General features: G+C 42.5%; 1 protein-coding gene across 1 annotated transcript in view, besides 2 other annotated features; it reads right to left on the bottom strand.

The window, feature by feature from the left end:
• MGMT (O-6-methylguanine-DNA methyltransferase) overlaps nt 1–18,669 on the bottom strand; it is a 303,743-nt gene that overhangs the window by 262,346 nt on the left and 22,728 nt on the right. The window lies entirely within an intron of this gene.
• Nucleotides 13,511–14,152: an enhancer, noted in NCBI's record as "NANOG-H3K27ac hESC enhancer chr10:131292750-131293391 (GRCh37/hg19 assembly coordinates)". NCBI's record gives its function as "activates a minimal SCP1, AML or CMV promoter by ChIP-STARR-seq in primed H9 embryonic stem cells {active_cell/tissue: H9 hESC(primed)}" and the evidence as "EXISTENCE:reporter gene assay evidence [ECO:0000049][PMID:30033119]".
• Nucleotides 17,106–17,306: a silencer, noted in NCBI's record as "peak1129 fragment used in MPRA reporter construct". NCBI's record gives its function as "represses an SCP1 promoter by STARR-seq MPRAs in K562 erythroleukemia cells {active_cell/tissue: K562}" and the evidence as "EXISTENCE:reporter gene assay evidence [ECO:0000049][PMID:32103011]".

Here is an 18,669-nt window from a genome sequence, read left to right as displayed (position 1 = left end):
GGAGGCAGAGGTTGCAGTGAGCCAAGATCGCACCACTGCACTCCAGCCTGGGCAACAAGAGCAAAACTCCATCTCAAAAGAAATAAAAAAACAAACAAAAAACAAAAAAAAAAAAAAGAAAGAAAGAAAAATTAAATCTGTTGTATACCAGAGAGGTCAGCACCCATTTACCTCGATATACTCCACCTTTAACTTCTAAGTGTAAAACCAGTTTTCTCAACTGACAAACACACTGTTTTAGGTGAAGATCAACTTTTTTCTCCTTTTCCAGCCCTACGACTCCTCTCTTCCTCCTTCCCCTGCCAACCCCTGGTACACACCACCTTCACCCATACCTTCTAGGACCTGCCACGTATCACCAGGTATGTGAAAGCTATCTCTATGGCGGCTTCCAGGCGGGCTGGAGTGGTGTGGCCATCAGAACCACCCGCAAAAGGGCTTTTTACTCCACAAAAGGGCTGGCCCTGCCCCACAGCATCTGTCTACCTACGGGCTAGGACCTACAGGCTGAGAACTGCTACTGGGCTGTACCAGAGGTCCCTAAGAATTAGGGAGCCCCACCCAAGACAGAAAACTAACTTGGTGAGAGAAGGAAATGGGAGACTCCTCAAAAACAAAAATGTCACAGAACAAAGGGCGTCACCTCCCTGCAAAGGACTTAGTATCCCACCCAGAATCCAGTGGCTTGGTACATGTTTTATCTGGGATTCAAACTCTACAAACCTGTGGTGGAATGAGAACAAAAGCTTTCGGCTTGTTTGCTAGCTGCTGAAGTTTAACAGCTAAAACATTTTGAAAGCAGATCCATATTTATTTTGGGAGACGGAAAGGTTTCTCCATCTCACAAGTAACTAATACAATCAAAACCCTGGCAAACACAGCAGTGCGCGAAGAAATACAGTGTGAGGCTGGACAATAAAAAGTTGCACAGAATCCATTTGTCATTTTGGCCCACTCACCAGAGGCTCTGCAAGCCTGCTTCCCACAGCTCAGCTCATAAATCCCCATCTCCTCCGGCCCACTCTCAGGACGTTCCTCCCCCAGCACCGGAACTAGGACTTCCTACATACTGCAGAGCTCACTCCTGGGGCACCCCTGTCCCCAATTCAGCAGGACCCTCTGTGAACAGGGACTGAAAGCCAGATCTCCTCCAGCAGGGCCATTGCTCCCAGTGAGCCTGGCCCTGCCTCCACAGCCTGCTCTGATGCTGTAGGACAGCTGTGCACAGGGCGGCCCGCACCAAACTGGGAAATGTCTGTGTGCCACCAGACAAGACCACTGCGATGTCTCCAGGCCACCCCTGCCCCAGAGGCCTTGTCCTCCATCTACATGCTCCAGAGGGGAGATTCACATCCGTCTGGAAGCCAAACCCAAGGACATGGGATAAATGCAGAGACTGCAGCACCACGCACACCACCCTGGAGAGGCTGGCTCCAACGTCACCTGCCTGACGGCTCACAGAGACCTTTCAACACTAGATCAGTCCTGTTTCACCCGGTCCTCACAGGAACTGGTCGTCGCAGGAACATTTTCACCTAGCTCTCCACTGTAGCCTGGCAAAGCATCATAACATAGCACTGGAACCCCCACTTTAGACACAGGGAAACTGAGGTTTGGGGATCTCAAGTAACCTGGTGATGGACACATGGCCCCTAAGTGGCAGAGTGAAGACTGGGATCCTATTCAGATGGGCTCAGGGCCCACAGCCCTGACTATATTGTGTTGATCTCAAAGAAACCCAGAGAAGATGCCCTGAAGATGACAACATCCAAATCCAAGGACTAAGAAAAGTTTCATAGGAGGAGGAGTTTTGAACAATGGTTAGGAGTTTAAAGGGGGTAGATTAAGAAGGTATTTGTACTATGTACGTTGAATAAACAGAGTGTACAAAGGCAGAGAAAAGAAAAATGTGAAGTATGGAGTTGTACAAATGGCAAGTCGACTCTTTCGGATAGAGCGGATTATAGGAACGAGAGATGGGAGGACAGGGTAGGGCAGCTGGGGCTTTGAAAGCAGTCCGAGGGCTCAGGACTTGGACATCTACAATAGCATCGAGGCAGCCACCAGCGCTGGGCATGAGCATAAATGCCCCCTGGATGCCTGGAGAACAATCTGGAGCCAGTGAGATGACTGAACGGCTACTTCACCAGCCCTAAGTATGTGGCTGCAAGGGGAGGTGTGGGATGCTTGGAAAACCACAGAAATGGAAAACTCTTTTGCCATAGGGTGATGGGAAAGACACAACAGAAGAAGGGGTCCAAGATGGCACCAAGAGAATCCTGCCCAAGAGGATGGGATGCCATGGATGAACCGAGGGTAGGCAGGGAAATCCGGGGTGGGGCCAGGGACAAGCTGGGCTTTAAACAAGTTCTACAGAGACCAATGAACTGTCTCAACCACGACAGTACCGACATTGCAGGAGAGAGAATTCCTCTTTGTTGTGGGGCTAGCCCATGTGTTGTGGGATGTTCACTGGCATCCCTGGCCTCCACCCACTGGATGCCGGCAGCACCCCCTCAGTTGTAACAACCACAAATGTCTACCATGACAAAGTTCCCCTGAGGGACAAAACTGCCCCCAGTTGAAAACCACTGGCCTAGTGAGGAAATGCTGCAAAAAAAAAAAAAAAAATAGCAACTGCAGACGAGAGACCACTCTGCAGGTCTCAGCTCGTGGCCATCTGAGCAATTCACAAAGCCTGTTGGTGTGCTCAGCACCTGACCGAAGGGATCAAACTACCCCAGGGACAAGCACAACCCCTCAGGCTTCACACTGCTCTCATGAATAATGAGCAATCTCTCAAATATGATGCCCAGTATAATCAAAGAAACAGGAAAACATGGAAATAAGACACCATGAGCAAGAACAAGCCAAAAAACTTTATTAGCTTGTTCTTGAACTTTAATTTCCTTTGAAACTTTACAAAAGCTGTCTACCATCTTAGGAAAATGATGTCACCAATATCCATGCTGACCAGATGATGAATGTACAATAAGCAAGCAAAGACTTGAGATACTGGATGTATCAGATGCAGACAGAAAGTAACTCAACCATTTTTAAAGAAGGAAAAGACCAGCTTGCTCACACCCAGAGTAAGACAAAGAACCACCGTGTATCTATCTGAGCTCCATGATAATTTAATGACCCCTAAAATTCAGCCTTAAGTCAAAATGTTGGAAAAAATGGAATCTCAGTTTTTACTTTACATATTTATCACATAATATTAAATTACACAGGTATTTGATATGTTGTCAGCCCCCTATTTTAACATGTAACTTCACACTAGCCTAATCATAAAGCCTGTATTATACTTTCATTTTTACAAACCAAGAGTCAAAGTAGGCTATCATAATAATATACAGTTTATCAATAGACTAGAAAATAAAAGTGGGGTTGGGGGACTAAAAGAGATATTTATCTACCACAGAATCTTGTTTCACTTCAATTTTCTCAATTCCATTTATTATTTCTGGAAAAAATCCTACTAGTTATATTTTTCCTGAGCAATTCTTTCCCAATACTTCATTCTCCTTGGAAAAACAGCATACCAGTGCTGTACTCCCAAAGTCAACAGGGGGAAACACACGCTGCAATTTTAAGTCTATAACACTTTCCAAAGTTGGCCTTAGTTTCCAAAACTTCATCTTTGTTAGATATCCTACAAGTCACTAATACTACAAACTTTATTACCAAGTCAGAAAAAAAAACCCTACCACATTCACACAAACCTAGGCTAGACAAAATCAGGTCCTAAAGGTGGTGGAGGGCACTACAGTACAATCAATTGCCAAGGACTCTCAGCTTTGATGACATCTCTCTCCCCACTCATTTGGAAATGGATTCCCAGGCAACAGTGGGAACCAAAATCTCAGGCTTCCCATGGTGGCATGTGAGGTGGCACAGGCTCTCTGAGCAGGAGGGTGCTGGGAAGCTCCTGATCTAATCACAATCTGGCCAGGGGAGGATGTTCTGGAGGGCATCCTCTCTAGTCCTTCTCAAGAGGGGGTTATTGAGAATTTGAAAGCACTTTTTAGTTGTCACAATGGTTGTGGGAGCTATCGACATTTAAAAGGGGGGAATCAAGAATGTAGAATGTTCTCCCATCCCAAACAACAGTGTCGTCCTGCAACCTGTGTCACTTTCAACTGTCCTGCAACACATTCAAATCTAAAATTCATAAGACCCTAAACTAGAATTCTGTTTACTGCAAACACAAAATTTTCTGCACAGTTTTTCTCTACACAAAGTTTTCTAAGAACACAACTATCCTGTAACTCAATGGAAAGGTGAACTTCATTTTCTTTGAAACTTTACAAAAGCTGTCCACCATTTTGGAAAAATTATATCACCAATGTCAACGTTGACCAGATGATGAATGTCCAATAAACAAAACTGTCTCAATCTCCATTTGCAGCTGCTGTGTTCCAGGTACATACACCTGATTGCCACGTTATGTCTGCTAGCAGAGTCCTGCCCAAGCATTCCTGTTCTGAAGGCATGTTATTTTATTATAAATTACTGCTCCTAAAGTGTTTCATTTAAATAGTACATGTAGATGGATATTATCCAGGAATTTCATTTCAGGAATGTAAAAGGCAGATTACGAACTATGGGTATCAGACATGGAACCCTGATCTGATACTGTTGAAACCATCAGGCTACAATGAGATGTTCCCAGTGCACACAAAGACAGGGAAACAAAACACATTTCTAAAACCGCCTTTAAACTTAAAAAAACATTAACTAGCTATAATATTTAACCTTTGATATCTAAACAATTTAATCAAATGTAGGAGGAAAAAGTCTGTAACATTAAGACCAGGGGCATTGCTACAAAGAGAATACAACATTTCAGCCCCTGGATCCGACAGAATTCCAAGTCTGCTTCTACCTGAGTATTAGAAAAGCTGAAGCCAGAAACAGCTAAATAAAAGGTGATGCAACTAGGCATAACACAATAAAAGATATTACCTTCAAAATGCATTCTCGTTGCCAATTATAAGAATCACTTCAACTTAATTTCAAAAGCACAATCACCCTCAACAGAAACAGTCTCTTTTTTAAATTTCAAAGAGTATCACATTAAAGCAATAACTCACCTTCCAGCCATAATATCACTCTCCCTCCCTTATTGCAACACCACATTTCATAAATACTTCTCATCGACAAGTCAAGCTAATTCAGGTTAATTTTATTGTATTTTGGTGCTATCTCACATTTGTGTGCAATTACCTTTATCATTTTATTGCCAAGGCAGAAAGTAATCAGAACAATTATTTGAAAACGGAGGTTTATAAATTCTAAATCACAGTTGCTGGCATTTTCGATAAAGCAGCAGCTTTATCTCGGGAAGTGGCAGGGACATTGGATAAATCATGCATCAGTCAAGTGTAGCTGACCCCCAAGTGCATTGCACAATATCAGAAGTGCTTCCAAAGAAACTTTCCTGCATCATCCATCATTCTTCATAATACTAAAATAGCTGCACACCTGAAGAATAGGAGCTGGAGGATAATAATAAAAAAAAAAATCCAAGCAGTGTGGGCGAAACCATTAACTGCTCTCCCTTTTAAACTGTAAGATATGGCCTGGAAACTGGACCACGCACATAAACAAATACGACTTTACAATAACTCTAAATATCTGTATTCATATTCGTCAACTCAGTTTTAAATATAAATGAAATACGGGGTAGAGCCGTAAAAAGAAAAAGTGCTTCTCTGGACTACATGCATTTTTATGCTCTGTTTGGGTCCGGCTGCTTTTAACAGCTGCCTCGCTAAGGCTTGTTTGTCTCGACATCTTGTTTTCTATTCCTCATTTTGTTCTAAAGTTTATTGCTCAAAAAAAAATGTAACTTGATTTTAAGGAAAAGAATAAAGGGAGAAGCCCCTGAATCCCCACGTGTGGTTTCCCCTAAGTTAATTACACCAACAGGGAGCACGGAAATTTAGGAAGGGAGGCGGCCCCATCCCCAGTCACCCCTCTTCATGCAGGGGAAAAAATTCACCCCCAACCTCAGCTGCAGCCTTCCTCAGGGAGAGACGACTCACATATCACACCTCTGGCATATGTGAGCCACATTTTTTTTTTACTCATTTTTTAAGGCAAAATAAAACAATTATGTGATCATTTATTTCCTTTTTTTAATCAAAAAGCAAATACCACAGAGAAAGGCAGCTTCTGTACCTTTTTGTAGGTGACCTGATGCCAATGGACTGTTAAAAGGTCTAGCTGGGTAGGAACGCAACGTATTAACTAAATATGCCTGGCACCGGGCCAGGTGCTTTACATGCGTTATCTCATTTACTCCTTACAGCAAACCTAAGGAAGATCAAATGGTGTGTAGATGAAGAAGCAGACAGGGAGGTTACGGAACTAGCCTAAGAACACAGCACTCCAGGGACAGGTGGGTATTCCAGGTCAAGTCAACATTCTTCAAAGCCTGGACTGCGGCCAGGACTCTCCCCAAGCTCCAGGACATAGACACACTCCACGCTGTACTAGTCAGGATGGCTGGGACGCTCTGCAGTAACAACCACCACCAAACCCACTACGGGTCTGGGCTAGCCCCAGCAGCGGCCTTGATTCATGCAAGCTTGATGCCACAGGCTGCGCCCATCCCATCCCACAGCTGTCCCAGTATCACATGGGGAGAACCAAGAGCTGGTGTGCACACACATCTACCAAGAAGCACCACATGCCACTCCAGGCCACGCTCATTAGCCAAACCAAGTCCATGACCAAGCCACCCTTGAAGGAGTGGAACGGGGCAGTCCTCCTGCACATCCAGCAAAGGGGAACTGAAAACAGAGGTGAGCCCTGCCTCCCTGGTCTACCACAGACACGAATGCTGCTCAATTCAGGCTTTGTTTCAAATTAAAGTAGTGTTGGACAAGAAACATGTTTAGAGTCCTCGGAATGGTCGTGGTGACCATGGCAGTCATACCATTAAAATCATCACCTGCGGCAGGTGCTTCGATGGAAGAAAACCCACAGTTGCTTATCTTGATGATAAACAGAAACATGAAAACCAAAGAATGGGGAGGTAAATGACTGACTTATCAAATAAATGCATAAATCCACAAGGCAGATAAAAAGGAGTAAGCACTATAAAAACAAACCAAGCCCACCAATTACAAATCTCTGTGACTCTGAAACATTCTATTTAGTTAACTCTACAGCCACCCTCAGCACATTTTCCAAACCACTGCAAAATAAACCCTCAATTTTCCAAGGAGTTAAATACTTTCTCGGTCTTGAAAGGGATGACTGCTGTCCCTCATCATGGACATATGTGGAGGTCCAACCTTTGGCCTAGAGATAATAAAGGCATCCTCCCCCACCCCCGCAGGAGGCAGGGTAGCTCTGAGAGGTATCAGGGCCCAAGCCCAGAGAGGGAAGAGGGGGCAACTTTGAACAAGTGAGTACATGGACACCTCTCACCTCCAGCCACTGCCGTTTCCAGGTTCACTGAGGGAACTCTGCCCAGGACAGCTGCTACTGGCTAAGAGCAAGAAAGGACCTGTGTGCAAAGGATTTTGATGCAAGAGTTGCCAGAGCCTGTCAGTGGACTCTGACACCAGGAAGTGACTGACCCCGTCACTGAGCTCAATGTTTTGGCTTTACTTTACCTCTACAAGTCTGTACAACTCTGAAGCTCTGTAATTCTATCTAGTTTTAAATTTACATGAAAGCTGTCAGTGAAACAGAAATCACATTAATCAGAGACACTGAACTGTTTAGGCAAAGTAACCCTGAATTTTATGTCATACACTTAACATTTGGGCTGCGTGCGGTGGCTCATGTCTGTAATCCCAGCACTGTGGGAGGCTAAGGCGGGCGGATAGTTTGAGCTCAGAAGTTTAAGACCAGTCTGGGCAACATGGTGAAGCACTGTCTCTACAAAAACATACAAAAATCAGGAAGGTGTGGTGGTGGGTACCTGTAATCCCAGATACTCAGGAGGCTGAGGTGCGAGGATTGCTCAGGAGGTGGAGGTTACAGTGAGCTGAGATCGCACCACTGCACCTGGGCAACAGAGCCAGACTCTATCTCAAAATAAATAAATAATAACGTTAACATTCGAAATATTAATAAAATCAATCCTTACAATAACCCATGAAGAGAGATGATATTATAATCCATGTATCACAGGTGAGGAACCCAGCACAATGCAGGTGAATAATTTGCCTCAGGTCCCATTTCGAGTGAGCAGTAGAAGCCTAAAGTCAAGCGTGGAGATTCCAATCCCCAGAGCCCTGCCTCTTCACCACCGCACCCTCCTGTCGGCTGAAGCAGCCCTGGGAGGCAGCCCCCCATGGCCCAGGGCCCAGGCTGGTGTGAATCCCCCGCCCAGTTCACCCCACCACAGCACACGCTTCTACGGTAGGAAACCAGGCGGTGCCCAAATCAGCGCCAATGAGGACTTTCTGAACAAATACAACACTGGTATTCCTCTACATTGTTGAAGTTTTAAAAATCCAATCTTTATGGCCTTTCCAATCCCAAGATTTATAATGTGAGTCCATATTCAAAAGTTTGTGTCAAAAAGAGTGTAAGGAAAAGGAAGATATGCTTAAGAAAGAAAGAATTAGGAAACACCTAACCTATTAATATACAGTAGGTGAATTTTCAGGACAATTAACTCCAAATTATTTTTCAGTCGGTTATATTCTCTCCCTTCCAAAAATAAGACCTAATTATTTCACGCATATATCCAACAATTTTCAGTCATCGGGTGAAAACTGACATAAGGATGTATTTCCGTCAGCTACTTCACAGTCTTTTGTCACCAGGAAACCCAATTCGAGTAAAAACGTGATGAAGCAGGAGTCTCGTGATCAGATTCTACATAGTACAGTATCCATTAAAGTCTCCAACACTTCATAAGATTTCTGACTGTCTGTGTTCTATAGCATGAATACTGTATCACCCTTAATGTTAAAATTTAACCAGACCTTTTAAAGGGTTTTAGGTTCATCGAATGAATTTTCAATATTTCTGTTTACAACAAAGAGAATTAAGAATCATAATGAATCAGATGTAGGTATAAGATATGAATTACACAAATCATAGGAGTTAGAAAATAAGTGTAAGAAAAAGAAAAATCTCTAAATTAGCAGAAAATGCTATTAAAGGTAATTGTTATTCTTCACATAACAACAGTAGAGGGTCTTCCTTGCTTTATTTTTATTTGTTTTCCACATCCAACATGGATATTTGAGAAATAAGCTAATTAGCTGGCATATCCATTTGGAAACATGCCATCAGTTTTCCAAGAGTCAAGGTGAAAGCTGAGTAACGAAATAAGTAATGAAACAAAAGGATTTCATTTTCTATTTGAGTCCAAATGTCAACCCTATATTCCTAACCATGTTTACAGAGAATTCTATAGAAAATTCTGTGACTTTTTCCACCAAGCAAGCATAGGAAATACTGTTCTTCACAAGTAGGGCTTTTCCTACTAAGCCTCATCTGCATCTAGTGGCTGAAACACAATGACACAGGTTTTACCAGATTCTTTTTAAAGGAAGCCACCATATAAGCAAACATGTTGCAGATAAAGAGGGCCAGGTTTCTCAATGTTGGAGAAGGCAGCTACAAAGAGGAAAGGCAGAGATTAGAATAAAACCTGCTGTGATGAATTCAAGTTAGAGGCATCAGATGAACTTGCAGTTTTTAACATGCATGCAGACAGCAGACACAGAAATAAATGCAGATGCACGGGTCAGTAGACACACATACAGCCCCTAGCTCCCCCTACTGAGAAGGGCAGGAAGAGCAGTGACTCAGCAGCAGCAAGCACACTCAGCACCCAGATCTTGGCTGCTAAACATCATCCTCCAGCTAAAAGGAAGAGAGGCTCCTTGGAGAAGTGACTGAATCCAGGGCTGGGGCAGGGAAAACACAAGATACACCTGGATCATACTATGATCCCAGAAAGTAGGAAAGCGCTAGAAAAACGATGGGCAGGTCCAAAAGACATAGGAGCCAAACCCAAGAGTTTCCAAAAAGCCAAACTGGGGGCTATTTGAGTAACAAAATTAAGTAAAGACAGCACTGGACTATACCCCAGAAATTAAAATAAATATCCATGAGTCTACGCTGATGTGAATAATTCAATGACTAATAAATAAAAGGGAAAGAAAAGACAGCTCTTCCTTACAGAACAGTTCCCGTTGGTAAATGAAAAGGGAAGGAGGGAAATACAAACATTAGGGAAACAGTACAGTAATAACTGCCACAGGCAAGACACACCCACGGTCACTAAGATGAGTGGGTGAAAGCCTGAGCAGAACCAAAATGGTCTCAAAATATCTCCCCCAAGGTATTAATTACCAATGGGAAAACTTCAATTACCAAGAGGAAATGCACAAGAGATTCACCATACCCAGTGACCAAGCTAACATCACAGTAACTGACAGACATATGTCCCCAGGACAGGATGGCCCAAGGGGGCACATCACTTCTGAGCCTTCTTACCAAAAACACGTAACCTCTGTCTCTCTGTGAGACAACATCAGCAAACCCAAACGAGAGGCATCCTACAAAATACCTGACCAGTATTCTTCGAAAGGGTCCAGGGTCACAAAAAACAAGGCAAGAGGAACTGTCACAAGTTAGACGTCTTAGTTCCTTCTGGTTGCTGGAATAAAATACCTTAGACTGGGTGCTTTGTAAACAACAGAAATTCATCTCGCACATTCTGGAGGCTGTGAAGTCCAAGATCAAGGTGCCGCCAGAGCCCGTGTCTGATAAGGGCCCTCTTCCTGGTTCACAGAGAGCACCTTCTCGCCGCGTCCTCACGTGGTGGAAGAGGACAGTGAGCTCCCTCAGTCCTCTTTTATAGGCACACTAATCCCATTCTGAGGGCTCCAGCCTGACCTAGTCATTGCCCAAAGGCCCCACCTCCAAAGGCCATCACCATGGGGGTAGAGTTTCAACACAGGAATTTGGAGGAAGCATAAATTCAGACCATTGCACTAGAGGAGACAAAGGAGAGATGGCAAGGTTTACAGTAGTGCACCCGTGTTAGCGCCCTGGTTGTGGTAAGTGTGAGGTGTTAGTGCTGGCAGAAACCAGATGGTGGCTGCATACAGAAACTTTGTGCTATTTGTGCAACTTTTCAGCAAGTCTAAAATTTATCTCAAAATAAAAAGTCCCCCCAAAAAGCCATTCCGTTGTCATCTATGTACATGCAGGGTCTAATCTGACCCCAAAGTCCTGCCATTCAGAAACAGGAGAGAGGACCAGGACAGTGTGAAGAATCTGCAGGGCCCTCACCACGCCCTTGCTGCTGACTGCAGTGCCGGACCAGCTGACCGGGGAGGCACAGAGCTGTGCACCGCCCCTCCGTGAAAACCCTCCCCTTGCCTCCAGGATCCAGAACTGATGCTGCTTGCCTGCCTCTGAAACATGCTGGTGCAGAGACGGGGGAGTGGTACGAGCTGTGGCTAGGAAATATAAAGGTTAAATAGATCATAAATTAAGATTAGTGTCAGCTGGCCAGCAGCTTTATATCACATTATAAATTAGATCAGGAAATGATGCTCCCCCTATTAAAATCAGAAACCATTCAGAGTACTTGCTTCAGAACTTCTACCCCGATAGCCTTCCCTTGCCAAAAAGGGGGAAAAAAAACTGGCCAGGCACAGTGGGTCATGCCTGTAACCCCAGCACTTTGGGAGGCTGAGGTAGGCGGATCACTTGAGGCCAGGAGTTCAAGGCGAGCCTGTGCAATGTAGAGAGACCCCATCTCTACAATTAATTTTTTAAAAAAGAAAAAAATTAACAAAACAAAAATAAATATATACCAAGATCCCTTTTAAAGTGTAGTAATTAAAAGGGGAAAAGGTATAGATGATGAATGAATTTATTTAAAACAACACCAAATGCTGGCTCCCTTGTGAGTTATTTCTCTCTGTATTTTTTTCCCAGGAACCTCTAGAGCACGGGACAGCTAGCCTCAGTGCCCCATCCCCATTCCACGGCTGCACAAGCTGATGCGACAGAAATCCCAGAGACCCCGGCCCAGAGTGCACCACCCTGAGTGGGTTCCGGGTCAGGCCACCTAGAGCAGATGGAAATAATGGCTAGAGACGGCTGCCAGTATTTTATTTAGACATTTTTATATGGAAGCCAGAGGTTGCAAGCACCGCTAGGATAACTATACAAATTTTGATTTTACTAAAATGTTATGTCCCCTGAGCCAAGGTATTAATCTTGTTATAAAAGTAGTCTCTCTGCTTGCTAGCCATTCATTAAACTTTCATCAATTTTAAGATGTACTTATTGTTATTGGAGCCTATGGAAAAGGCAAATAGCATACAACACCCAGGCAAGAATCGGACCAGCTTTTGGAGCGGGATGGAACGAAGTCCATCCCCTTTTGGAGGAAGACTTAAGCGTGACGATGAAAATTCCAGGCATTCAAGTTTCCTGAAATATTTATAAAACAGTTTTCAGCTTGTAGCAACATTTGATCTCTAAGAAATAAATTACCAATTATTTCTTAAAGAGTGAGGATAAATTAAAAGTGAGACTCTAAATGGCAAATAGTAAAACAAAACCGCCTCCCATTGCTCTGTGCTCTCCAAAGACAGCTGTGTGCAGGGGGAGGCCTGCGAGTGCCAGTCCCCAGCCGCAGGGACCTCCAGGAATGTCTAATGCAGTATCAATCTTGTCAGCTGCATGCCATCCATCCGCAGCCTGCTGGACGCTGGGGAGGACACCAGACTCTGGCCTGTGAATGCTCTGGGAATGTCATTACATTCTCTGTTTACTGACCAGACACAGGCCTATTTCTGCAGGAACTTACATCCTGATGAAGTTCTGATGTCATGTGAACTACGTGAAGATGCTCTGCTGAGAAAAATGGGAAGAAGAATCCTGGTGGAAAGAGATAAGCCTAGGACGGGCCAGATTCCATACACGTTTGACAGGAAGGCATGTCCATGCAATCGTTTCTCTGCCTTTGTGTGATATCGTGTAAGGTTATGATTGTACAAAACGGCTGCAGAATTTTGGAGTAGGACCTATCAAAAGAGATGAGAATTTTCTTTCTCTACAAGCAAACAGGAATTAAAAAGTTCAGCAGTCCATCGATCATCAGTGATGAGTCACAATCAGCAAATGAAATGTAGAAGATGGTCTCTCATCACTTGGCCTATAAAAGCTTCTGATCCGTGGGGTAAAAATGCACCGACTGTAATAAGCACTCCATTAGAACAAATAAAACCAAACACCTAATTACCAAGTGACTATTTATAGTTTCCAAAATAACTTAACCCAGTTTCACAATGCAGATATTTTGAGATTCAAAGAAAACTCTTGCTCTATTCCAGCATTAGGTACTACGTTTATTTTGCTTAGACCCAGAGGATCAAGAGTTCTGTAACTCTAAATTACGTTATTTGTACCATGAATTCAAATAATTAGTCTCATTTACAAATAGCAGTTACTTATAAAAGAAAATAGAATCATAAATGTAAATTGTTAATCCTGAAAAAAATTCACAATCTGGTTTAACGGAACATTGCAGAGTCAAGGAAAGAATGTGTGCATGGGGTCGGTAATATCCTGAGTTTATTTAAATGGGTTTTGCAAAACTAGCTCATGCCAGCACAATCTTTTATTCTTCTCCGCTTCAGCCTATTTTATCTTTTTAGTGTCTTGTTCAGGCAAATTCCTTTCCCCACAGGGGTGACGTCCCTATTGACACAGCACAGAGAAGGAAGTTGGTGATCTGTGACATCCCAAAAAGGAGTTCCTGGTACTCAGAGCAGTCGTGGTAAAAATAAAGGAACAAATAAATACAAACAAGCAAAGAAAACCAGATGTCAGGATTAGAATAGACTCTAAAGACCTCTTAAGACCATTAAACAAGCATCATATCCGTCTAGACTGGCAGTGTCCATACGCAGCTGTTAGCCACATGTGGCTACTTATTTAAATTTAAATTAATTGGAATGTAATAAAATTTAAAATTCAGTTTCTAAGCCACAGGAGTCAATTTCAAGTGCCCAGCAGCCAATGTGACTAGTGGCTACCACATTGGGCAGCAGAGACACAGAACATTTCCATCATTGCAAAAACTTCTGTTGGAAAGCCCTGGCCAATCCTGTCATTGCACATATTAGGGAAACTGAGACCCAGAAGGTAATGAGGACTTGAAGTCTCTGATAAGCCAGGAACCCAGAGTTCACCGGCTGACACGCAGCAAGTGGCTGGCCACTGAGCAGGTCATTCAGGTAAGCCCCAGGGAAGCTTGAGCTCCACGTGGTTAGGAACTTGTCTGGACAGTTCAAGGTCAGGGTCCAGCACACACCCCACCCACTCCCCAGGTGACTGAGGTTTTTTGAATGAAGATATGAAAAAAATGACCATATCACTATTGGGGCTTCAAAATTACACAACACAGTCCTGAATTCAGGAAACTAAGAGGCTGGCTAAGAATTTCTCAGTGTAAGACACAAGAAGTCTTCCCTGTGTTTTGACTTCTCAAAACACTATATTAAACATCTTTGTGCACAAAATTTTAATTAATTCTTTAAGACAGAGTCTCAGATATGAAATTGCCCTAAATTCCTAACAATGGAAGAAGGTTATATCTTTACAGTAGGACACTATGCCATCTCCAAAAATGATATTAAAGAGTTCAATATATGGCTAAGCACTTACAAGGTCAGGTGAAAAAGTCAAACACACAACTGTGATGATCCCACATGCGGAAATGACTGGGGTGTAAGTGTGCACGTGATGTCTATGCGTATAAGACAAGCCTCTAGAGTTTCACTCAGCTTTGTCCCCTAGAGAGTATTGCAGCAAACCTTTCTGAAAAGGGCTGCTTCCCAGATTGAAGGCAGAAATATAAATATTAGTGAGCAAGTTGTTCTGGATTAGAAGACAACTTTGACAACCTCCCCCAGATCCCACACTGGGCCTGGCGCACAGTGACCCCTCTTAAAACCCCTCTAACTGATGGAATCCATATTGGGATGAACACTTGCAGATGTTGATAAGAACATATCTAAGGATCTATTTTAATATTACTTTTTCTAAATCTTCAAGATTTTTATCTATATTTATCTTCTGGTAGCTTTATGCAAAAACCAAACCAGTTGTTTTGGATTAAGGGACTACGATGCACTAGATATTGAATAAATGGCAATGTTTCAAAGTTTCCTGAATGGCCTCTCTAGTAAGCAGGGGCAATCCAAAGAGAATCGGGGCACTTGGAAAAAGGAGAGTAAGCCAGGGCTGGAGGAAGCAGAGGGAAAGTGGGCAGCATCAGCAGAGAAGGTGCACACCTCATGACCTCCAGACGCTCCACTGGGGCCTCCCTGACAACCCGAGGGCCCTGATTGAGTGAGAAGCCTTAGAAAGTCCTAGATCTGAGTGGTGCTGCCTTGAGACCCCCTGGTTCCAGGCAACAGAAACCCAAACACCCACCCTTAGGGAAAAGCATCCCTAATTTAGGCACTCAGGAGTCAAACAGATCAGGCTCAGCCCATATAAATTAATAATCAACCAAGTCATCAAACAAGGTCCCGTGTCATCGTAAGAGTTACAAGAAATCACAGAAAGATGAAAACCACAAAGCCCACACTCCACCCACAGGATTGCAGATATTTAAAGCAACCTGTGTAGAATACGAAATAAGCATTTATGAAATGTGTGGGCAAAGGAAGATAGATGACAGGAGAAAGCATGACCAAGGAGAAAGCAGAAATCAAAGACTTCAATCAAGATTTCAAGCAAGTGCTCAGAATGGACTTTCATTTCCAAGCAAAACGAACTAATGGAGGCAGCCCAATGTTCCCACAGGAACTGGAAAAAGTCAGAAAAATTACAAAACTCGTCTTTTAAAATGTTATAGAGCTGTGGAAGCAACCAGGACTAGGGGGACTGGGACTGTACAGTGGAGACTGCCCTTTGCTGCCCAGAAACACTTGCTGATCCTGGGTGCAGATGGGGAGCACCGTGGCAGTCCACACAAAGCCACTCCACCTGGGAAGGGAAACCAGGGAAGCTCTGGGTGGCCCATTGGGGATGGCATGAAAGATCAGAATCAGAACCCCAAAAGTGCAATCAATTTGCTATCCTATGGGGCTGCGTTCATGAGCCTAGAGAGCTGGGTCAAGTGAGGGCTCCTAAAAGGAAAAGCACACTATCCCTTAATCTAATAGCACTTACGAGACTGGGGTGGGAGGAAAGGTAGGCGGAAAGACAGAGAGAGAAGGGCCTGCTTCACACATAGTCACATCTCCCATCAGGACATTTAGGAGACTTTGAAACAGGGGACGTGGGAAGCTAAAGAGCTCAGCTCAAAACCTTCTAAGGGGAGAACCAAGGGATCTCCCAAAGCATTTACAGGCTGAGGAGAAAGAGACCATGGGCTTCCAATCAAAAGACCATGCTCAAAGGGAAGGTCCAACTAGGGACTGAGTTTTAGTAAAATAACAGGCCAGCCCTGACCCAGATCAATCCCTCATGAAACCAAGGTCCTTCACCCCTCACTCCATATGCCTAACCAAGGGCAAAGAGAGCTTTTGCTTTGATGAAAAACACGACAATCCAGAGGTTTTACAGTCCTTTATGCACAAGTCCAGCAAACACTCACAATTTTAAAAGCATGCAAAAAGCAAAAACATGTATTTAATAATAATAAAGAGAAGGGAAAAAAGAAGAAAATACAAGCAGAGGAATAGATGTCCACAATACTGGTGCTAGCAGATAAGAAGTGTAAAATAATTACAATGGATACACTTAATAATAAGAGGAAAAGACAGACAACATAAGTGGGAAAGAGAAGAATTTTAAATATAGAATTAAAATATATATTAAAGTACAAAACGGGCATTCTAGAACTGAAAAATACAAAATTTGTAATTCAGGATTCATTGGATGGGTTTAGTAACAGACTGGACACATCAGAAAACAAGGTCCGTGATCTGCCAGAGAGCTCAGCAGAAAATATCCAAACTGTGGTCAAGAAAGGGGAAAGGAATGGAAAGAAAACAAGAATAGAGATCCGAGGGACAGTCAAAAGGACTAACCTACCTATAATTCAACTCCGAGAGGAAAGGACAGATTGGATGAGGCAGAGCAATATTTGAAGGGATCAGGGTCAAGAATTTGCCAATAGATGACAGAGAGCAATCCAGAAATTCAAGAAGTTCAGCAAACCCTAAGCAGAATAAATATGAAGAAAACCTCAAAGAACCATAACACAATTAGCTTCAAACCAAAGAAAAAATCTTAAAAGCAGCCAGAGTAAAAACATTTGCATTATCTTCAAAAGTGCAACAATAAGACTGACAGCTGACTTTTCAGCAAACTTCAGAAACCAGAAGACGATGGAATGTCATATTTTATAAGGTAAAGAATTGCTAACTCAACAATCAATAACTATTAGTGTTTAAAAATGGACCAATTCACTGCCAGTTGACTAGCATTAAAAACTAAGTAAACAAACAAGTCCTTCAAGCAGAAGTCACCCCAGACGAAGGCATGATGATGGAGAACCAATGGAGAGCACTGGAGGGCAAGCATGGGGCACGGTGACACAAACACCAAACGTTTAAACAGTGACAAAAGTGACTACTGCATTTTAAATGTGTATATATAATTAAAATACAACAGCATCCAAGCTGGGAGAAAGGGAAATGACTAACATTTTGTAAAGTATTTTACTATTCAGGAAGTGGCAAAGTAGCAATTTAGGTGAACTATAGTAAGTCCAGGGTGTATATTATAATCTCTAGGCTAATCACTAAATGAAACATACAAATCTGTATAACCAGAAAGGGGAGAAAAATGGTTTTAAAAACTATTAATCATAAAGAAAGCAAAATAAATTAGAAATACAGGAACAAATAAAGATGGGACAAATAGAAGACAGATAGCAAGATGGTAAAAGTAAGCTCAACTATAATTATTTTAATGTGACTGGACTAAATAATTAAAAAATAAAGACTACCAAACTGGATATTTTTAAAACTATATTACTTTACACATATTTTAAATATAAGAACAAAGGCTGAAAGCTAAAGGGTAGAAAAAGATAGACTGTGCAAAAATATAGCTTCATATAATTAACCTAACCAGTTTTTAAAAAAGAATAATCTTAATAACAATAAAGAATAAATAACCTTAAAAACAATTAAACCACTAGTTTGGCCAAAGTTAAAAGCAATAAATTAATAAGCTTGGTCTAGAGCAGGTGTTTAAAGGATGATTCTTAGTGGCCAAGTAATGTTCATCCCAGGAATGCAAAGATAGCTTAACATTAATAATTCCCTAGAAGTCATGATCCACACTAACAGATATGGGGATGGGAACCACATAAACAGTTAAATAGATGCAGAAAAATCACTTAATAAAATTTGAAGCCTGTTCATAATTTTTAAAAAGTTTTCAAGGAACAGTAGAGGAGAAGGAGATTAAGAAGTTTTCTTCAGCTCTGAAATAGTTTCTGACAATTTTTTGTTTCCCTCCTGGAGGGAAGCAAAATAAGAAAAAAGAAAAAAAAGAAAACAAAATTCAGATAACCAGAAGAGAAGGAAAGTTCTTTCTACCAAAAGTCTATAGCAAGCATCATTTTTGTTAATGAAGAGTTAGCAGTTTTCCCTTTAAAATAAGCAACAAGATGAGTGTATTATCCCC

Source organism: Homo sapiens, chromosome 10, assembly GCF_000001405.40.
Source record: "Homo sapiens chromosome 10, GRCh38.p14 Primary Assembly".
Lineage (NCBI taxonomy): Eukaryota > Metazoa > Chordata > Mammalia > Primates > Hominidae > Homo > Homo sapiens.
Note: the sequence above shows the minus strand (reverse complement) of the source record. Positions and strands in the feature narration are given on the sequence as shown.